The 13,972-nt window shown below is 37.9% G+C and overlaps 2 annotated features.

Annotated features, from left to right (window-relative positions):
* Nucleotides 11,006-11,585: an enhancer, noted in NCBI's record as "NANOG hESC enhancer chr14:87623147-87623726 (GRCh37/hg19 assembly coordinates)". NCBI's record gives its function as "activates a minimal SCP1, AML or CMV promoter by ChIP-STARR-seq in primed H9 embryonic stem cells {active_cell/tissue: H9 hESC(primed)}" and the evidence as "EXISTENCE:reporter gene assay evidence [ECO:0000049][PMID:30033119]".
* Nucleotides 13,058-13,558: an enhancer, noted in NCBI's record as "H3K4me1 hESC enhancer chr14:87621174-87621674 (GRCh37/hg19 assembly coordinates)". NCBI's record gives its function as "activates a minimal SCP1, AML or CMV promoter by ChIP-STARR-seq in primed H9 embryonic stem cells {active_cell/tissue: H9 hESC(primed)}" and the evidence as "EXISTENCE:reporter gene assay evidence [ECO:0000049][PMID:30033119]".

The raw sequence follows: 13,972 nt of genomic DNA, 5'->3' as shown, positions 1-13,972 counted from the left end.
CATGAAAACTGACTAATACAGTGTCTTAGTTCGTTTCAGTTTCTATAACAGAATACCAAAAACTGGGTAATTCATAAAGAGGATTATTTGGCTCAAGCTTCTTAAGGCTGGGAATTTTGAGAGCATGTTGCTGGCATCTGGTGAGTGTCATCTCATGGCAGAAGGACAGAAGACAGACAGAAAGCATGAGGGGCAGATTGCCTTTTATAGTAATTCACTCTATGATAATAAAAACTCACTCCTTCAATAATGACATTAATCCATTCATAAGCTCTGTGCTCATGACCCAGTCACCTGTTAATAGACCTCACCTCCCAACACTGTTGCATTGGGAATTTAGTTTCCAACATATGCATTTGGGGAAGACATTCACACCATAGCAAACGGCAACAATGTAATTGATTACTTAGAAAATACAATTTGCAATATCCAAGCTAGTATTGAAATTTCCATCTGGAACTATGATTGAGTTGGGGACCTAGTACTGTGTATAGGAAATTGGGCAACCTTTGAATTGGGTTTTCTCTTAGATGGCTTTATGCTTTATGGCAGTGAACAATATGTGTAACAAAGAGCTATGAAAATTATGGGGCTGATGGTAGTAACTCTGATTCTGATAGAATACAAAAGGCTGTTATTCATTTACAGAGCTATTTCCAGATAGTGCTATATTTACTTATTGATATTATGTTTATAGCAATACAACTAAAGCTAACTTCCAGGCAGCATCCCTGCCCGTGTCCATTCTGGTTGGCTGTTAATTATTTTGAATGCCATCCCTAGTGAGTGTTTAAGAAACACCTTCATTATTGGAAATCTATTAAAAAAAAACTCTGTTACTATAGGTCTAAATTGTTTTAGGCCCTCACTTCCTTCTCCATTAAGTAATTTTTCTTTTTTTTTTTTTTTGAGACGGAGTCTTGCTGTTGCCCAGGCTGGAGTGCAGTGTTGCGATCTCGGCTCACTGCAAGCTCTGCCTCCTGGGTTCACGCCATTCTCCTGCCTCAGCCTCCCAAGTAGCTGGGACTACAGGCACCCGCCACTACACCAGGCTAATTTTTTGTATTTTTAGTAGAGACGGGGTTTCACTGTGTTAGCCAGGATGGTCTCGATCTCCTGACCTTGTGATCCGCCCACCTTGGCCTCCCAAAGTGCTGGGATTACAGGTGTGAGCCACCGCGCCTGGCCTAAGTAATTATTTTTTATCTTTATTTGTGATAAAGCAAAGTTTTTAGAAATTCAACAGTAGCATTAGAGTAAAGCACCCTGTAATCTCTCATGATGTCTTCATGGGTGATTCCATGTTTGCTCTTTTCCTTTGCATATATTTCACATGGTGGAGTTTTCTCAACACTTACTTCTCAGATAAAATGTTATTATACCTTTACAGAGAGGCTATCCTTGTCCACATAACCTAGAGTAGTTCATCTCAACCTTCCCTGCCACTGATCCTTTTTCCCCTATAACATATGTCATGACCTGAAGTTATTTATTTATGTATGTATTTATGTGTAGGTGTATTCAATTGTTTGTATATTCCTTTGCTAGAATATAAATTTCACCATGAGAGGATTTTGTCTATCTTTTTCAATACTGTATCTCCAACACATAGAATGGTGCCTGGTACATATTAGACATTCAAAAAATAGTTGTGAATCAAATGAATTAATGCTGATATCTAATAGTTGCTTGATATTTAAACTACTGAATCTTATATTAGCATTGAATCATGGAGTAGGTGTTACAGATAATGAAGAGAGAAAACAAAGAATAGCAGAACACAATCTAAAATAAAATCTACTTAGTTGTCTCATGTATTAAGTTATCATATGTGGCATCTGGAAGCTCTGCTCTTACTAGTTCTATTTTCATACTGTCAACAAGCTGCTGCCACATCCATAAAAGTGAAACATTTATGCACCAATGCAAAAGAGTTACTTTTGACTTTTCTTTCTCCTGTAAAGCACTCAAAAATACAATTCTAAAAGATGAAATGACTGGGGGAGGATGGATGGTGGGAGAATTGTATGACTTAAACCAGAAGCTTACATAAGGATTGAATCTGGTCCTTAACATTAAAGTGGTAGTTGCATTTTGGAAAATTGAAATCATGATGCTTGGCTGAGCTGTAGGTGTACTCTCAATGGCATTATATGATTTGACTTAAATAGAAAAGCAATTTAAATTCTTGTTTAAATTAGCACTGAACTCCAATATCACCTATACTAATTTTATGTTTAGAGGTATATTTTACATTCAGTACTTCTGTGGCAAAAATTGACTGCATCATTCATTCAATAAGTATCTTTCAAGCATAAAACCTGTGCCAGACACTCTGCTAGGTTCTGGGGATTCAACATAAACACCAAACAGCCTCTGCCCTCTGGTAGCTAACACCTACTAGAAAAAAGTCAGTCTGCCCAGCACTGGGGAAAATGTAAAGTTAAAGTGTTGTCAAAGGCCATTGCAAAAAATTAAAGTGTCATAAGCTATGTGACTAACCATGTGACTGGCACCCAATAGAAATACAAGTAAAGATCAAGAAAAACTTGCGTCTGCATGTGCACGTGCGTGTGTGTGTGTATGTGTGTGTATGTGTGTGTTGGGGAGTGTTTGTGTGATTGGTATATAGACAACATAATTGGTAGCAGGAAGGATATGCAGACAAAATTCTACAAAGGCCATGTGTTCATTGTTGTCTGTGCATCTATGATATGTGCTGCATACATTCAGAGGAAGGAATCACTAAAGTCTGCTCCAATGGTAGAAGCCTTATGCAATTGGAAATAGGTCTTGAGGGATTAACAAAAATTAAATAAACAGAAAAAAGGAGAAAGGAACTGTGTCATTGTAGTCTAGGTGATGAAGACTTGATGGGGGTGAGATTAACCAATCTTTAAGTTCCGGTCATCTGGAAATTTATTGATTTTCTTTTGAGTCATAAAGGTAAGGTAGAGCTAGATCAAGGAAGAGAGGGAAAATAATATTCTTCTAGGCAATGGCTCTCAAAGGTTTCTAGATACACAGTATCAACACCACCTTGGAAATCTGTTGGAAATGGAAATTCTCAGACCGCCAACCCAGGCCTACTAAATAAGAAACTCTGTGCAGAGCCCAGGAATCTATGGTTTGACAAGCCCTCCTGGTGATTCTGAGGCATGCTCAAGTTTAAGAACCACTGTTCTAGGGGATGGGTATATAAGTGAATAAAACAACAAGCAAAATTAAAAGTCAGCTATCACTGAGATTTGGGGCTTTGACTGCCAAGTGAAACCCAAGTGAAGATTTTTGCAGGCTCTGGGCTAGAGAGTCCCAAGTTGAGCAGATCTCCTGACAAACTTACCCTGGGTCTTTCTTGATCCTGGCATTTGTTCCTTAGTTTTCCTCTGTGGTCACCTTGTTCTTTCCCATTGGATACCCTTTCTCTATGTCTCCATTTATGTAAAGTCAACTCATTTTGGGGACCTCCTTAAAGTATTGAAAAGCCTTTTTTCCCCTGATTTTTTTTCATTTCAATAATGTCTGTATTACTTGCCAGTTTTTATTTTTTGTTTAAACTTTTTAACTGAAGAAGAATTTACATTAAAAAACATGCCAATATCTTACATGTATAGCTTCAAGGATTATTTAGAAATATAACACATCTCTGCAAGTAGCAGCCATGTCAAAAAACAAAATATTACCTGCACTCGAAAGCACCTGTATATTCCGTTCCAGTCACTACATATTCCCAAGGTAAAGGGAACAACGGCCTTTGTTTCTAACATCATATATTAGTTTTGATAGCCTTTTTCTCCAACTGCGCCATTTGTTCTCATTTCATCCGACCACTTTGTTTGGCTGCAGAACACTGTTTTATTGATCATTTCATTCGATTGCTAAAACATCACTAATAGCAACATTGGAATGTTGAAATATCATTACTAAAAACATGCTGTGATTGGTGACCCTCTGAAAGAACCCTTGTTCTTCAAGATGGTACATTGAAAAGGAAACGCACAATTATATTAACCACGACCAATCAGAGCAGCAAAGTAAGCAAAGGAGCTAGCAAACTTGTCTTACCAAAAAGGCTTCTAGGAATCTTCATCTTAGCTTCCTTACTCTTTGACACTTAATCACTTCTTTTCTTTGAACCAATGGAGAAAAAGAAAGAAAGGAAAGACGGAAGGAAGGAAGGAAGGAAGGAAGAAAGAAAGAAAGAAAAGAAAGAAAGGAAGGAAAGAAAGAAAGGAAGGAAAGAAAGAAAGGAAGGAAAGGAAAGGAAGAAAGAAGGAAAGAAAGGAAGGAAGGAAATGAGAAAGAAAGGAAGGAAATGAGAAAGAAAAAAGATCTTTCATCTCAAAACACCACCCTCCTCTATCAGCACCCTCAGTTACTCTCAGCATTGCTTCCTTGACGTGTTCTGCCCTCCTCTTCCATAACAGTTGGCTAGACTTTCCTGGGATGAGGGAGGTGTTGATTCCTCACCTCTCTGGAATTCTGGCTTACCCTCTTCAGGAATTATTATTTGTTCATTGATTTCCTTTTTGATGTCCATCCACGAGACCCTATAACATAAACTCCAGAAGACCAATGACTCCTGTCTTGTTGATCATTGTCCCTCTACCCCCTAAAACAGGTCCTGACACATAGTACATGCTCAACAGACACTCACTTGAAATAATAAATTTTATGCATGAGTACTAAAGTTCTAAATAACATTTAAATTAGACAGTGTTTGAATTTGGAATCTGCCTCGGCTCTGCCAATGACTAACCATTTGATCTAGTCAACTCATTACTTTCTCTGTGCCTCAGTTTTCTCCTTTCTAAAATTGGGACTGTGGAGATTATCAAAGGTCTCTAACTCAATAAAGTGCATACAGGAGATATGTGGAGGGTAAGGATTAGGGCAAACAGGTCTTCTAAGAGGCAGCCTCCACTCAGCCCCAGCAGTTTGTTACAAAGGAAAAACACAAATGCAATATTGCTTCAGAATGTAGTATTTCTAGAAATGCTGAAACTCCAGATTTTTTTTTCACTAAAACTCACATGAAATGTTCACAATGAATTCAATTAAGAAAATAAAAACATCATAGGCTGAAAGTGACCCACAGTTTAATTCTTTTTGTCTTGGGGTTAGGTCAGCACTAACAATAATTTGACCCAAGATCATGTAACCTTCCTTAACAAAGGAAGGTTATTTGTTTGAGTATATGATTTATCAGCTTTCTCAAGATCTCTTAAACATAAGAAGAGACTTGTAAAGTGAATCTTTTTATATTTCTGAGAGTGGGAGTACTGATTTTTCTTAGAAAAATTTCTTTCCTCTCTGTATATATACTGCTGTATTATGGCATTTTGATATCAGAGCAACTTTATAAGATTTGATAGCAAAATGATCACTACTCAAGTTTCAATGACCATTTTTATTCCTAGAATCTCAAATAAAATACCTTCAGGTCTATATATGAATTTTTCCTCTTAGGGCTAATATTTTCTATACATTTAAATTAAATATATAATCATGATGTTTAGAAAATAAGCTGACCAATGAAAAGTTAAAAGCTATTTGGAAATAAAATGGTAATATTAATTGAGGAGTAATTGAGAACATGTATCCTACTTGAAGAAATACTGAAGTATTTAAAAATAATAGTCATTAAAATTATTACAATAAATGAGAAGATAAAAATCCTGAATATTAAATAGAAAAATGCTAAAAGGTATTTTTAATATGCCATTAATTACTTTTTTAAGTTGCTGAGTTAAAAAACACTGGCAGGAAAAAAAAAGAAAATACCAAGATGCTAGAATGGATGGTTGAGGGAAAAAAATTATAAATGCTCTTCTTCCTTTTCTTTTTCTGGCTGTGACCCTATCAATTAAAATTTCTTTTCTTTTTCTCTTTTTTTTGAGATGGAGTTTCACTCTTGTTGCCCAGGCTGGAGTGCAGTGGCATGATCCTGGCTCAGTGCAGCTTCCACCTCCTGGATTCAAGTAATTCTCCTGCCTCAGCCTCCCAAGTAGCTGGGATTCTCCTGCCTCAGCCTCCTGAGTAGCTGGCATGTACCACCACACCAGGCTAATTTTATATTTTTAGTAGAGACAGGGTCCCTCCATGTTGGTGAGGCTGGTCTTGAACTCCCAACCTCAGGTGATCCACCCACCTTGGCCTCCCAAAGTGCTGGGATTACAGGTGTGAGCCACTGCGCCGGGCCAATTAAAATTTCATATGCATATCCGTGTGTGTTCATGGATATTCCATTCTCTACCAAATTTATTTTATAATATAGAACACATTTATTAATGGAGGTAAATGAAAACAAGCCATAATATCAAACTGGGTCTTGGGGAAAATAAAAGTTTTTTTTTTTAACTAAACCACCGTAATACCAAACCTGTTTTATGTATTTATTATTTTTATCCTGAGTTTGATTCTTACTGTGCTTTCACTCTGGCCATAAGCATGTCTTCCCTGCAAATTCAGATAAAGAAAGATTTAAAATGAAACCAGATGCTAATTTCCTTAGCATCTTCTTTTAGACTAATAGTTAGATGTTCCCTCAGTGGTTGGTGGGGGCGGGGACAAGCGGCTGTACTTATCACAGAGATTGGAAGAAAACAAAACAACTGCAGGAGCAGGTAAGGATTAAACCATTTCCGGACAGAGGACCCGGGGCAGGTGCAGGCCCTCACTCTGGCTATCTTAGGTCATGGCATCTGTGCAGTGTGCAATTGACATCCTGAGAAAACAGAGGTTTAGGAAGAAATGTCAGGGTCAGTCCAGGGAATTCATTTGTTGGCACAGCTTTGTTGCACTATTCTAGGGAGAACAAGATAAAACTACATTGCTCAGAAGTCCTACTTAGAATTTAAAGCACATTACAAAATATTAAAATGTCTTGTTTGATCAGTTTTATACTCCCAGACTCATGCAAAAATGAAGAAAAGGGCATGTATTCCCAGAAGACTGTTTTTATTTTTTGATCATGACTAAGATAGATTCAGAGATGGGAGAAAAGGTAGATTCATGGATGAGGGAGTGTGTGGGGGAGGTTGGGAGGGGAGCAGAGAGATCGACAAATAAGAAATTGCTTGAGGATGTGTTAAGCAGATGATAACAAATACCTAAGACCCTAATGAGAAAACCAATCCAATCCTCTTGGGAAGATTATTTGAGAAAACATTTCAGACAGAGGGAATGCAATGCAGGGTCATAAAGCAGGAATGAACTTGGCAACTATTAGCACCAGATAAAAGGCTGTGAGGATCTGGTATGTGAAGGGTGAGACCTGGAGGAGATGGCCCTGAAGAGGCAGAGAAGAGCCAAGTCGCACAGGATTTTTAAATCCAGGTTGAAGGATGTTTTCTTAAATGCCCTGGAAGCTATTGAGGGTTTTTATGTTGGGAATTGGGGTGATTTGATTACCATTTTTTAAAGATCACTCTGGCTTATGATGACATACTTTTCAATATTTTCCATTTATAGTCTTGCCTTTGAACATCCAGGCTGTAATCCAAGCCATCAGACACAAATGGTGACATGATTAGGAAAAGGCTGTCTTTATAGTACCCATTCTGGAACAATCTGTAGCTTTTATGTGCACATTATCATTGCCCCTGAGCCATAATGGGCCTGAAATTGGAGGCAGCATTCCACCCGAGTCATCATCCAAACCACTTTATAAAGCCATCGTCTACATACGTCTCTAGAGGCTCATTCAGTTACTCATAAGGCCCAACTTTTCTCAGCTTATGAGGAATATCAAAATCATGGATACGGATGTTCATATTAACTCCATTTGGAATAATTCTGTTTTCATAAATAGCCACCAAAAATCCCTCCACGCATTAAACATAACAAACTGAGCAACAACACAAACAGTTCTGTAACTCAGGGTCTTTTTTTCTTTTTTCACTTAATTGTATCCTAACCCTTTCATGTCTTGGCAAAAGGCAAATATCAGTATTTTGCCAGAATGGTGTTATTTTAAGCAGAAGAAGAAGGACCATAAAGGCATAAATAAGTCTTGGGGGGAAATAAAAGACTTTTTTAAAACTAAACCACCATCACATCAAACCTAATTTATGTATAAATGTTCTCGGTTCTCCTCCTCCAAAGCCTGTAGCTGGAGAATATACTCTCTCCTCATTTTTCTCAGCCTTTAAGGATTGTTTGATCTTTACCAGAGAAGTTTCTGGGCTTTTATGATGGAGAAATGGAGAATGGGCAGAAGAAGGAGCAGTCAGTAGAGGGGGAGTTGAAGGGCTTAGCAAGATGTGTGTTAAATCAGCTTAAGCAGGAGAGAGCAGAAGGAAGAACCAAAAGTTTCTCAGCCAAAGTTGGAGGGTCAAACTGGGGAGAATGTGATGAAGAACAAGAGGGCCTGGTGGAAGGAAGAGAGTGAGAGCAATGGAAAGAAGAGAAGGAAATATAAAAGAAATGTGGGCCGGGCGCGGTGGCTCATTTCTGCAATCCCAGCACTTTGGGAGGCCAAGGTGGGCGGATCACGAGGTCAGGAGATGGAGACCATCCTGGCTAACACACAGTGAAATCCTGTTTCTACTAAAAATACAAAAACTTAGCCGGGCGTGGTGGCGGGCGCCTGTAGTCCCAGCTACTGGGGAGGCTAAGGCAGGAGAATGGCGTGAACCCGGGAGGCGGAGCTTGCAGTGAGCCGAGATCGCCCCACTGCAGTCCAGCTTGGGAGAAAGAGCGAGACTCAGTCTCAAAAAAAAAAAAAAAAAATGTGCTGGAGGGATGGATTTGATCAAAATTCTCTCCTCTCTTTCCCTCCCCTCCTTTCCCCCTTCTTCCTTCCTCTCCTTTTCTCCTCTCCTCTCTTTTTCAGTTTTTCTTAAGACACAGTTTTGTAGAAAGATTCAGCTGCTTAAATGCGGGAGCCAAATAGAAGTAATGTTTTTTTTTTACTTATTTGGAGGAAAGATGGTAAAAGGAAAGAAAATAAAGGAAGAAATGTGGCAGGAAATAGACTAAATAAAGCAGAAAAACCATCACATGTATAGTTAAAGATTTTGCCTCTTATCATTTCAAACTCTCTTTTACTGTACAAACATTGCCTTTTTTTTTTTTTCTAAAACCTGAGAGAAGTCATGATCTTTCTCAGTGATAATGAATAGCTCTATGTGTGAGAACAGAAACAAGATGCAACAGCTTAGCATGGAAATGGAAGATGCACAGGGATCTAGACCAAACTTACCTGCTATTCCAGCTCATCTCCCTTTCTTTATGGATCAATCATATGGTATTATTCACTATTCCCCAACACACAAACTCTTCCTCACCTTATTGTTGTCTTCTCAGCCAGAAATCCCTTTCTCTTCCTCTTCTCATTAATTTATTAAATGATAATTTATTTTGCACGTTGTATGTATCCATGGTACTAGATACAGTGATACTCACTGAGAACAAATGTTCAATCTGCCACTTTCTAAAATTGTTTTGAAAGAGTATGAAAATAATTGTAATAATGCCATAACATAATATCTTCACAAGAATCCTTATAAATGTTTAATCCTGTAGTAATTTTTGTTTGTTTGTTTTGACACAGGGTCTTGCTCTGTCGCGCAGGCTGAGTGCAGCGGTGCCATCTTGTCTCATTGCAACCTCTGGCTCCTAGGATCAAAAGATCCTCTTATCTCAGCCCCCCAAGTAGCGGGGACTACAGGCACATGCCACCACACCCCACTAATTTGTGTGTATTTTCTAGAGATGGGGTTTAGCCATGTTGCCCAAACTGGTCTGGAACTCCTGAGCTCAAGCAATCCACCCTCCTTGGACTCCCGAAGTGCGGGATTAAACGCATGAGCCACAAAGCCTGGCCCTGTAGTAATTTTATTCATCCTCTCATTTTGCTCTGCATTTCACACAAAGCCACGCCCACAAAACACAAACAGACAGTTCCACATCCCTCTCCCAACCCCACATGTAAATTAAGATAACAAAGCTTTGTTGTTGAAAATCACTGTCTAGAATTACACAGAAATGATTCTGCTTCTGTCTGGATCCGTGAGCAGTCTGTCACTGGAAAATCCATACAGTTTATATCATTAGCAAAAATGAATTAGTTCACATTCAGTTTTGAAATTCTAATAAATCTATGCAATAATTACATATATATTTGAGAAGATTCTTACATACATCCTTATTTATTATACATCTTAAATATTTATAGAATTTAAAGATTGGGATGCAGACTGTTATAGTTATTAATTAAAGAAAAGAAGACTGTCTTTTAGTTGACTAACTAGGATTACAAGCATCTAATGAGGCTTGAAAAGAGTAGAAAGCATTGACTATCTTTGGTCTAAACAACAGGCAGTGCATCAATGTGGTGCATCATATGCCTGAACAAACAAATCTAACTACCTGGTAGGGTGACCAGGAATGAAAGTCTGGTCACTGAGCTTGGGTAATGATTGCCAAGGAGTGACTATTTTTTAGTGATGAGAGAAAGAAAACCCATTCATGAGCCAAATGAAATTCTAAATCAATTCTTCAGTTTGCTGCTTAAATCTAAAGTAGTCAAAACACTAGTTGATTAAGCACTTAATTTTATGAAACAGTATTCTTGAAAAGTAGGAACTTAATTATATCAGAGATATAATACTAAACAATGATTTTCCCTTATAGTCTACTACTAATAAAGGCAAGGGTTATTCAAAGAGAGAGCATGAATAAAAGTGGTATGAATTCTGAAAGAATTACATAAAATACAGGAAGTATATTCTTAATCACATCCTTGGTCAATGGCAATATTTACATTTTTGTCTTAAAGACAAAAAAAAAGAGAGAGGGATTCAAATACACTAATAAGAATAAGGGTGTACCCACTTCCATCCCCTATTGCCCCCAAAATGCATAAGTAATTCTGAAATCTGAGTAGGCATCAGCTATTTATGGGTGACACGCAAATAATAACTATAGGTTCCAATAAAAGGTTTTTTCTTTTTTTTTTTTACAATTATTTAAGCATTGATTAAAATAGTTGAATTAAGAATTATAAACAGTTTAGTGCACAGACCTGTATTAGTCTATTCTAACACTGCTATAAGAAATACCTGAGACTGGTAATTTATAAGAGAAAGAGGCTTAATTGACTCACAGTTCCACATGGCTGGGGAGGCCTCAGGAAACTTATATGATCATGGCAGAAGGCAAAGGAAAAGCAAGTACCTCCTTCAAATGGCAGCAGGAGACAGAAGAGCATGTAAGAGCAGGGAAAACTGCCTTATAAAACCATCAGATCTCCTGACAACTCACTCACTATCATGAGAACAGCATGGGGGAAATCACCCCCTATGATCCAACCACTTCCCACTGGGTCCCTCCATTGACTTGTGGAGATTTCAGGGATTACAATTTGAGATGACATTGGGATGGGACCACAGAGTGAAACCATATCAAGTCCAAACATAATAGATTAGATTAATTAATTGAGAATTGATTGGTTAGAACTCCCACTTATAAAGTAATTACTTATTTTAAAAAATAAAATAATTAGAGATACCAATACATGCCATTTTTGTTTCACAGAAATGTATTAGAGGTGAAATTTGAAATTTTCTTCAAAATTTTAAAAATAGATGTTTTAGATATTTGTTGTGGTTTTTCAGTATAATCATATTTGGTAAGTGGGGTTATGATTTTTTTAATGTCTTACTTTCAAAAAGACAAACAAAATTTTCATTGTATCCATATAAACTGTGAGTGATTCGGGATTAAAAAAGGAAAATTAATTTTCATGAGAAGGAAAGCAAAAGGAGAAAATCTATCACAAATATATCCAATAGAAACCACAATATGTTATGTTTAGAAGCTCAACAGTTCTGTTATTTTCAGAAACTCATTTATGTCAACCATTATGAAATAAAGTACAAAACAAAATACTGTATAACTAATGTAAGAAATATAAAATACTAAAGTAAAGGTGTATACTTCTTAATGAGAAAGAACAAACTCTTATTTTTTTAAGTGTGGCCAATAGACCACTAAAATGTAAACTTTACCTATGAAGAGAGTGCCTGAGCAAGAATCTGCAACTAGAAAAAGAAAGTGAGAGATTATGCAACTGGTCTTTGAGAAAGTACAAATCATAATTTACAATGCAAAACTCTGAGATGCAGTGAAAAAAGAAACACAGTAAAAGCAATCCTTTAAACCACCCTCCTATGCTTCTAACATAACCCAAGAAGAGAATTTTGTCTTCAAGAGATCCCTCTTTCCACAGATGCCTTCACAGGAAAAGGTGGCAATCCCTCTAACAGTACTTGAAGTAAGTAGAACTGGCATGTCTTGGCTGCTGCTTCCCACCAGTGTAGACAGACTTTTAGCAATAAAGAAAGGCAAGGCTGCCTGCTGAAAAATCCCCTGGTGAAATGATTCAGGCTTGACAGACATGCCCCAAAATGCATATCCTTTCAAAATCACATTGATTATACCGTTTTTCTTAATTCCAGACTTCTCAATTCTATAAAATTTCAGACTTGAAATCTAGAGCAAACCTCTTGAAAATCAGCAGATTTGCTTAGAAACAAATGCACCAGGTAATCCACCCTCTTTTTCTTCCCTCTACTCTCCGTATTTTTTTTTTTTTTCATTCTCCTCCCCACGCTTTTCTGTAAAGGTCTGTTAATGTTACTGGCAGCACATCTGTATGGGTCTACAGCAACCTCAATTCTTGCCTCTTGATAAGAAAGAATTTAAGAGTCATAAGGCAGAAAGAGACTGAGGCAAGTTTTAGAGCAGGAGTGAACGTTTATGAAAAAGTTTAGAGCAGGAACAAAAGGAAATAAAGTACACTTGGAAGAGGGCCAAGCAGGAGACTTTAGAGAGTCAAATGCCCCGTTTTACCTTTGACTTAGGTTTTTTTTTTTTTTTTTCTTTTTTTTGAGATAGAGTCTCGCTCTGTTGCCCAGGCTGGAGTGCAACGGCGCGATATCGGCTCACTGCAAGCACCGCCTCCCGGTTTCACGCCATTCTCTTGCCTCAGCCTCCCAAGTAGCTGGGACTACATGCGCCCGCCACCACGCCCGGCTAATTTTTTTGTATTTTTGGTAGAGACAGGGTTTCACCGTGTGAGCCAGGATGGTCTTGATCTCCTGACCTCGTGATCCGCCCACCTTGGCCTCCCAAAGTGCTGGGATTACAGGCGTGAGCCACCGTGCCCGGCCTGCCTTAGGGTTTTATACGTTGTCATACTTCCAGGGTCTTGCATCCCTTCTCCTCTGTTTTTCTATTGGGGTGGGCTGTCCTCATGGGCAGTAACCTGCTAGAGCAAGGGAAGGGAGCATGCGCAGTGTGTTTCCTGGAGTTGTACGCATGCTCACTTGAGGCGTTGTTTCCTTACCAGCCAGATGTCTTTAGAAAGTCATGCACCAGTTAAACTCCACCATTTTGCCTCTTAATGCACATGCTTGGGCCCACTCATCAAACTCCTGATATTTTATTGCAAAGCTGCTGATCCCCAGTTTCAGGTTTTTACTATCTATTGGGAGACAGCCTTTCCCTGGCACTGGCTGTGACCAATTATTATTTTAGAGAGTCAGTTAACAACTGCCTGCCCATCACCTGATAGTCGCCTGACATTCCTGGTGATGTATCATTGGCCAAAAGGAGTCAGTTGCTAAATGCCATCCATACAATTCTCTAGTAGAAATAAAATGTATTAGCATAAAATACAATTGATGCAAAAATATAAAATAAATACAAAACTATGAGATATATACAACGTGCGTGTATCACATTTAGATTTCTCTTCAAGTTGATGTTACATTACATAGTGTTTCCCTGAAGACTTATATGTAAACAGTTCATTGTGAATTTTTACAAAATTTTATACAAATTTTATGTAAACCTAAACCATTTCATATATGGGAGTATGAAAGTAAGTTATTTAGTATATAAAGTTAATATTTTCTGAAGTCAAGACTTTTACAAAATTTACACAGGCAATAAGAACTTCATT

This window comes from Homo sapiens, chromosome 14 (assembly GCF_000001405.40).
Source record: "Homo sapiens chromosome 14, GRCh38.p14 Primary Assembly".
Lineage (NCBI taxonomy): Eukaryota > Metazoa > Chordata > Mammalia > Primates > Hominidae > Homo > Homo sapiens.
This window is presented reverse-complemented; position numbering and strand designations above follow the sequence as displayed.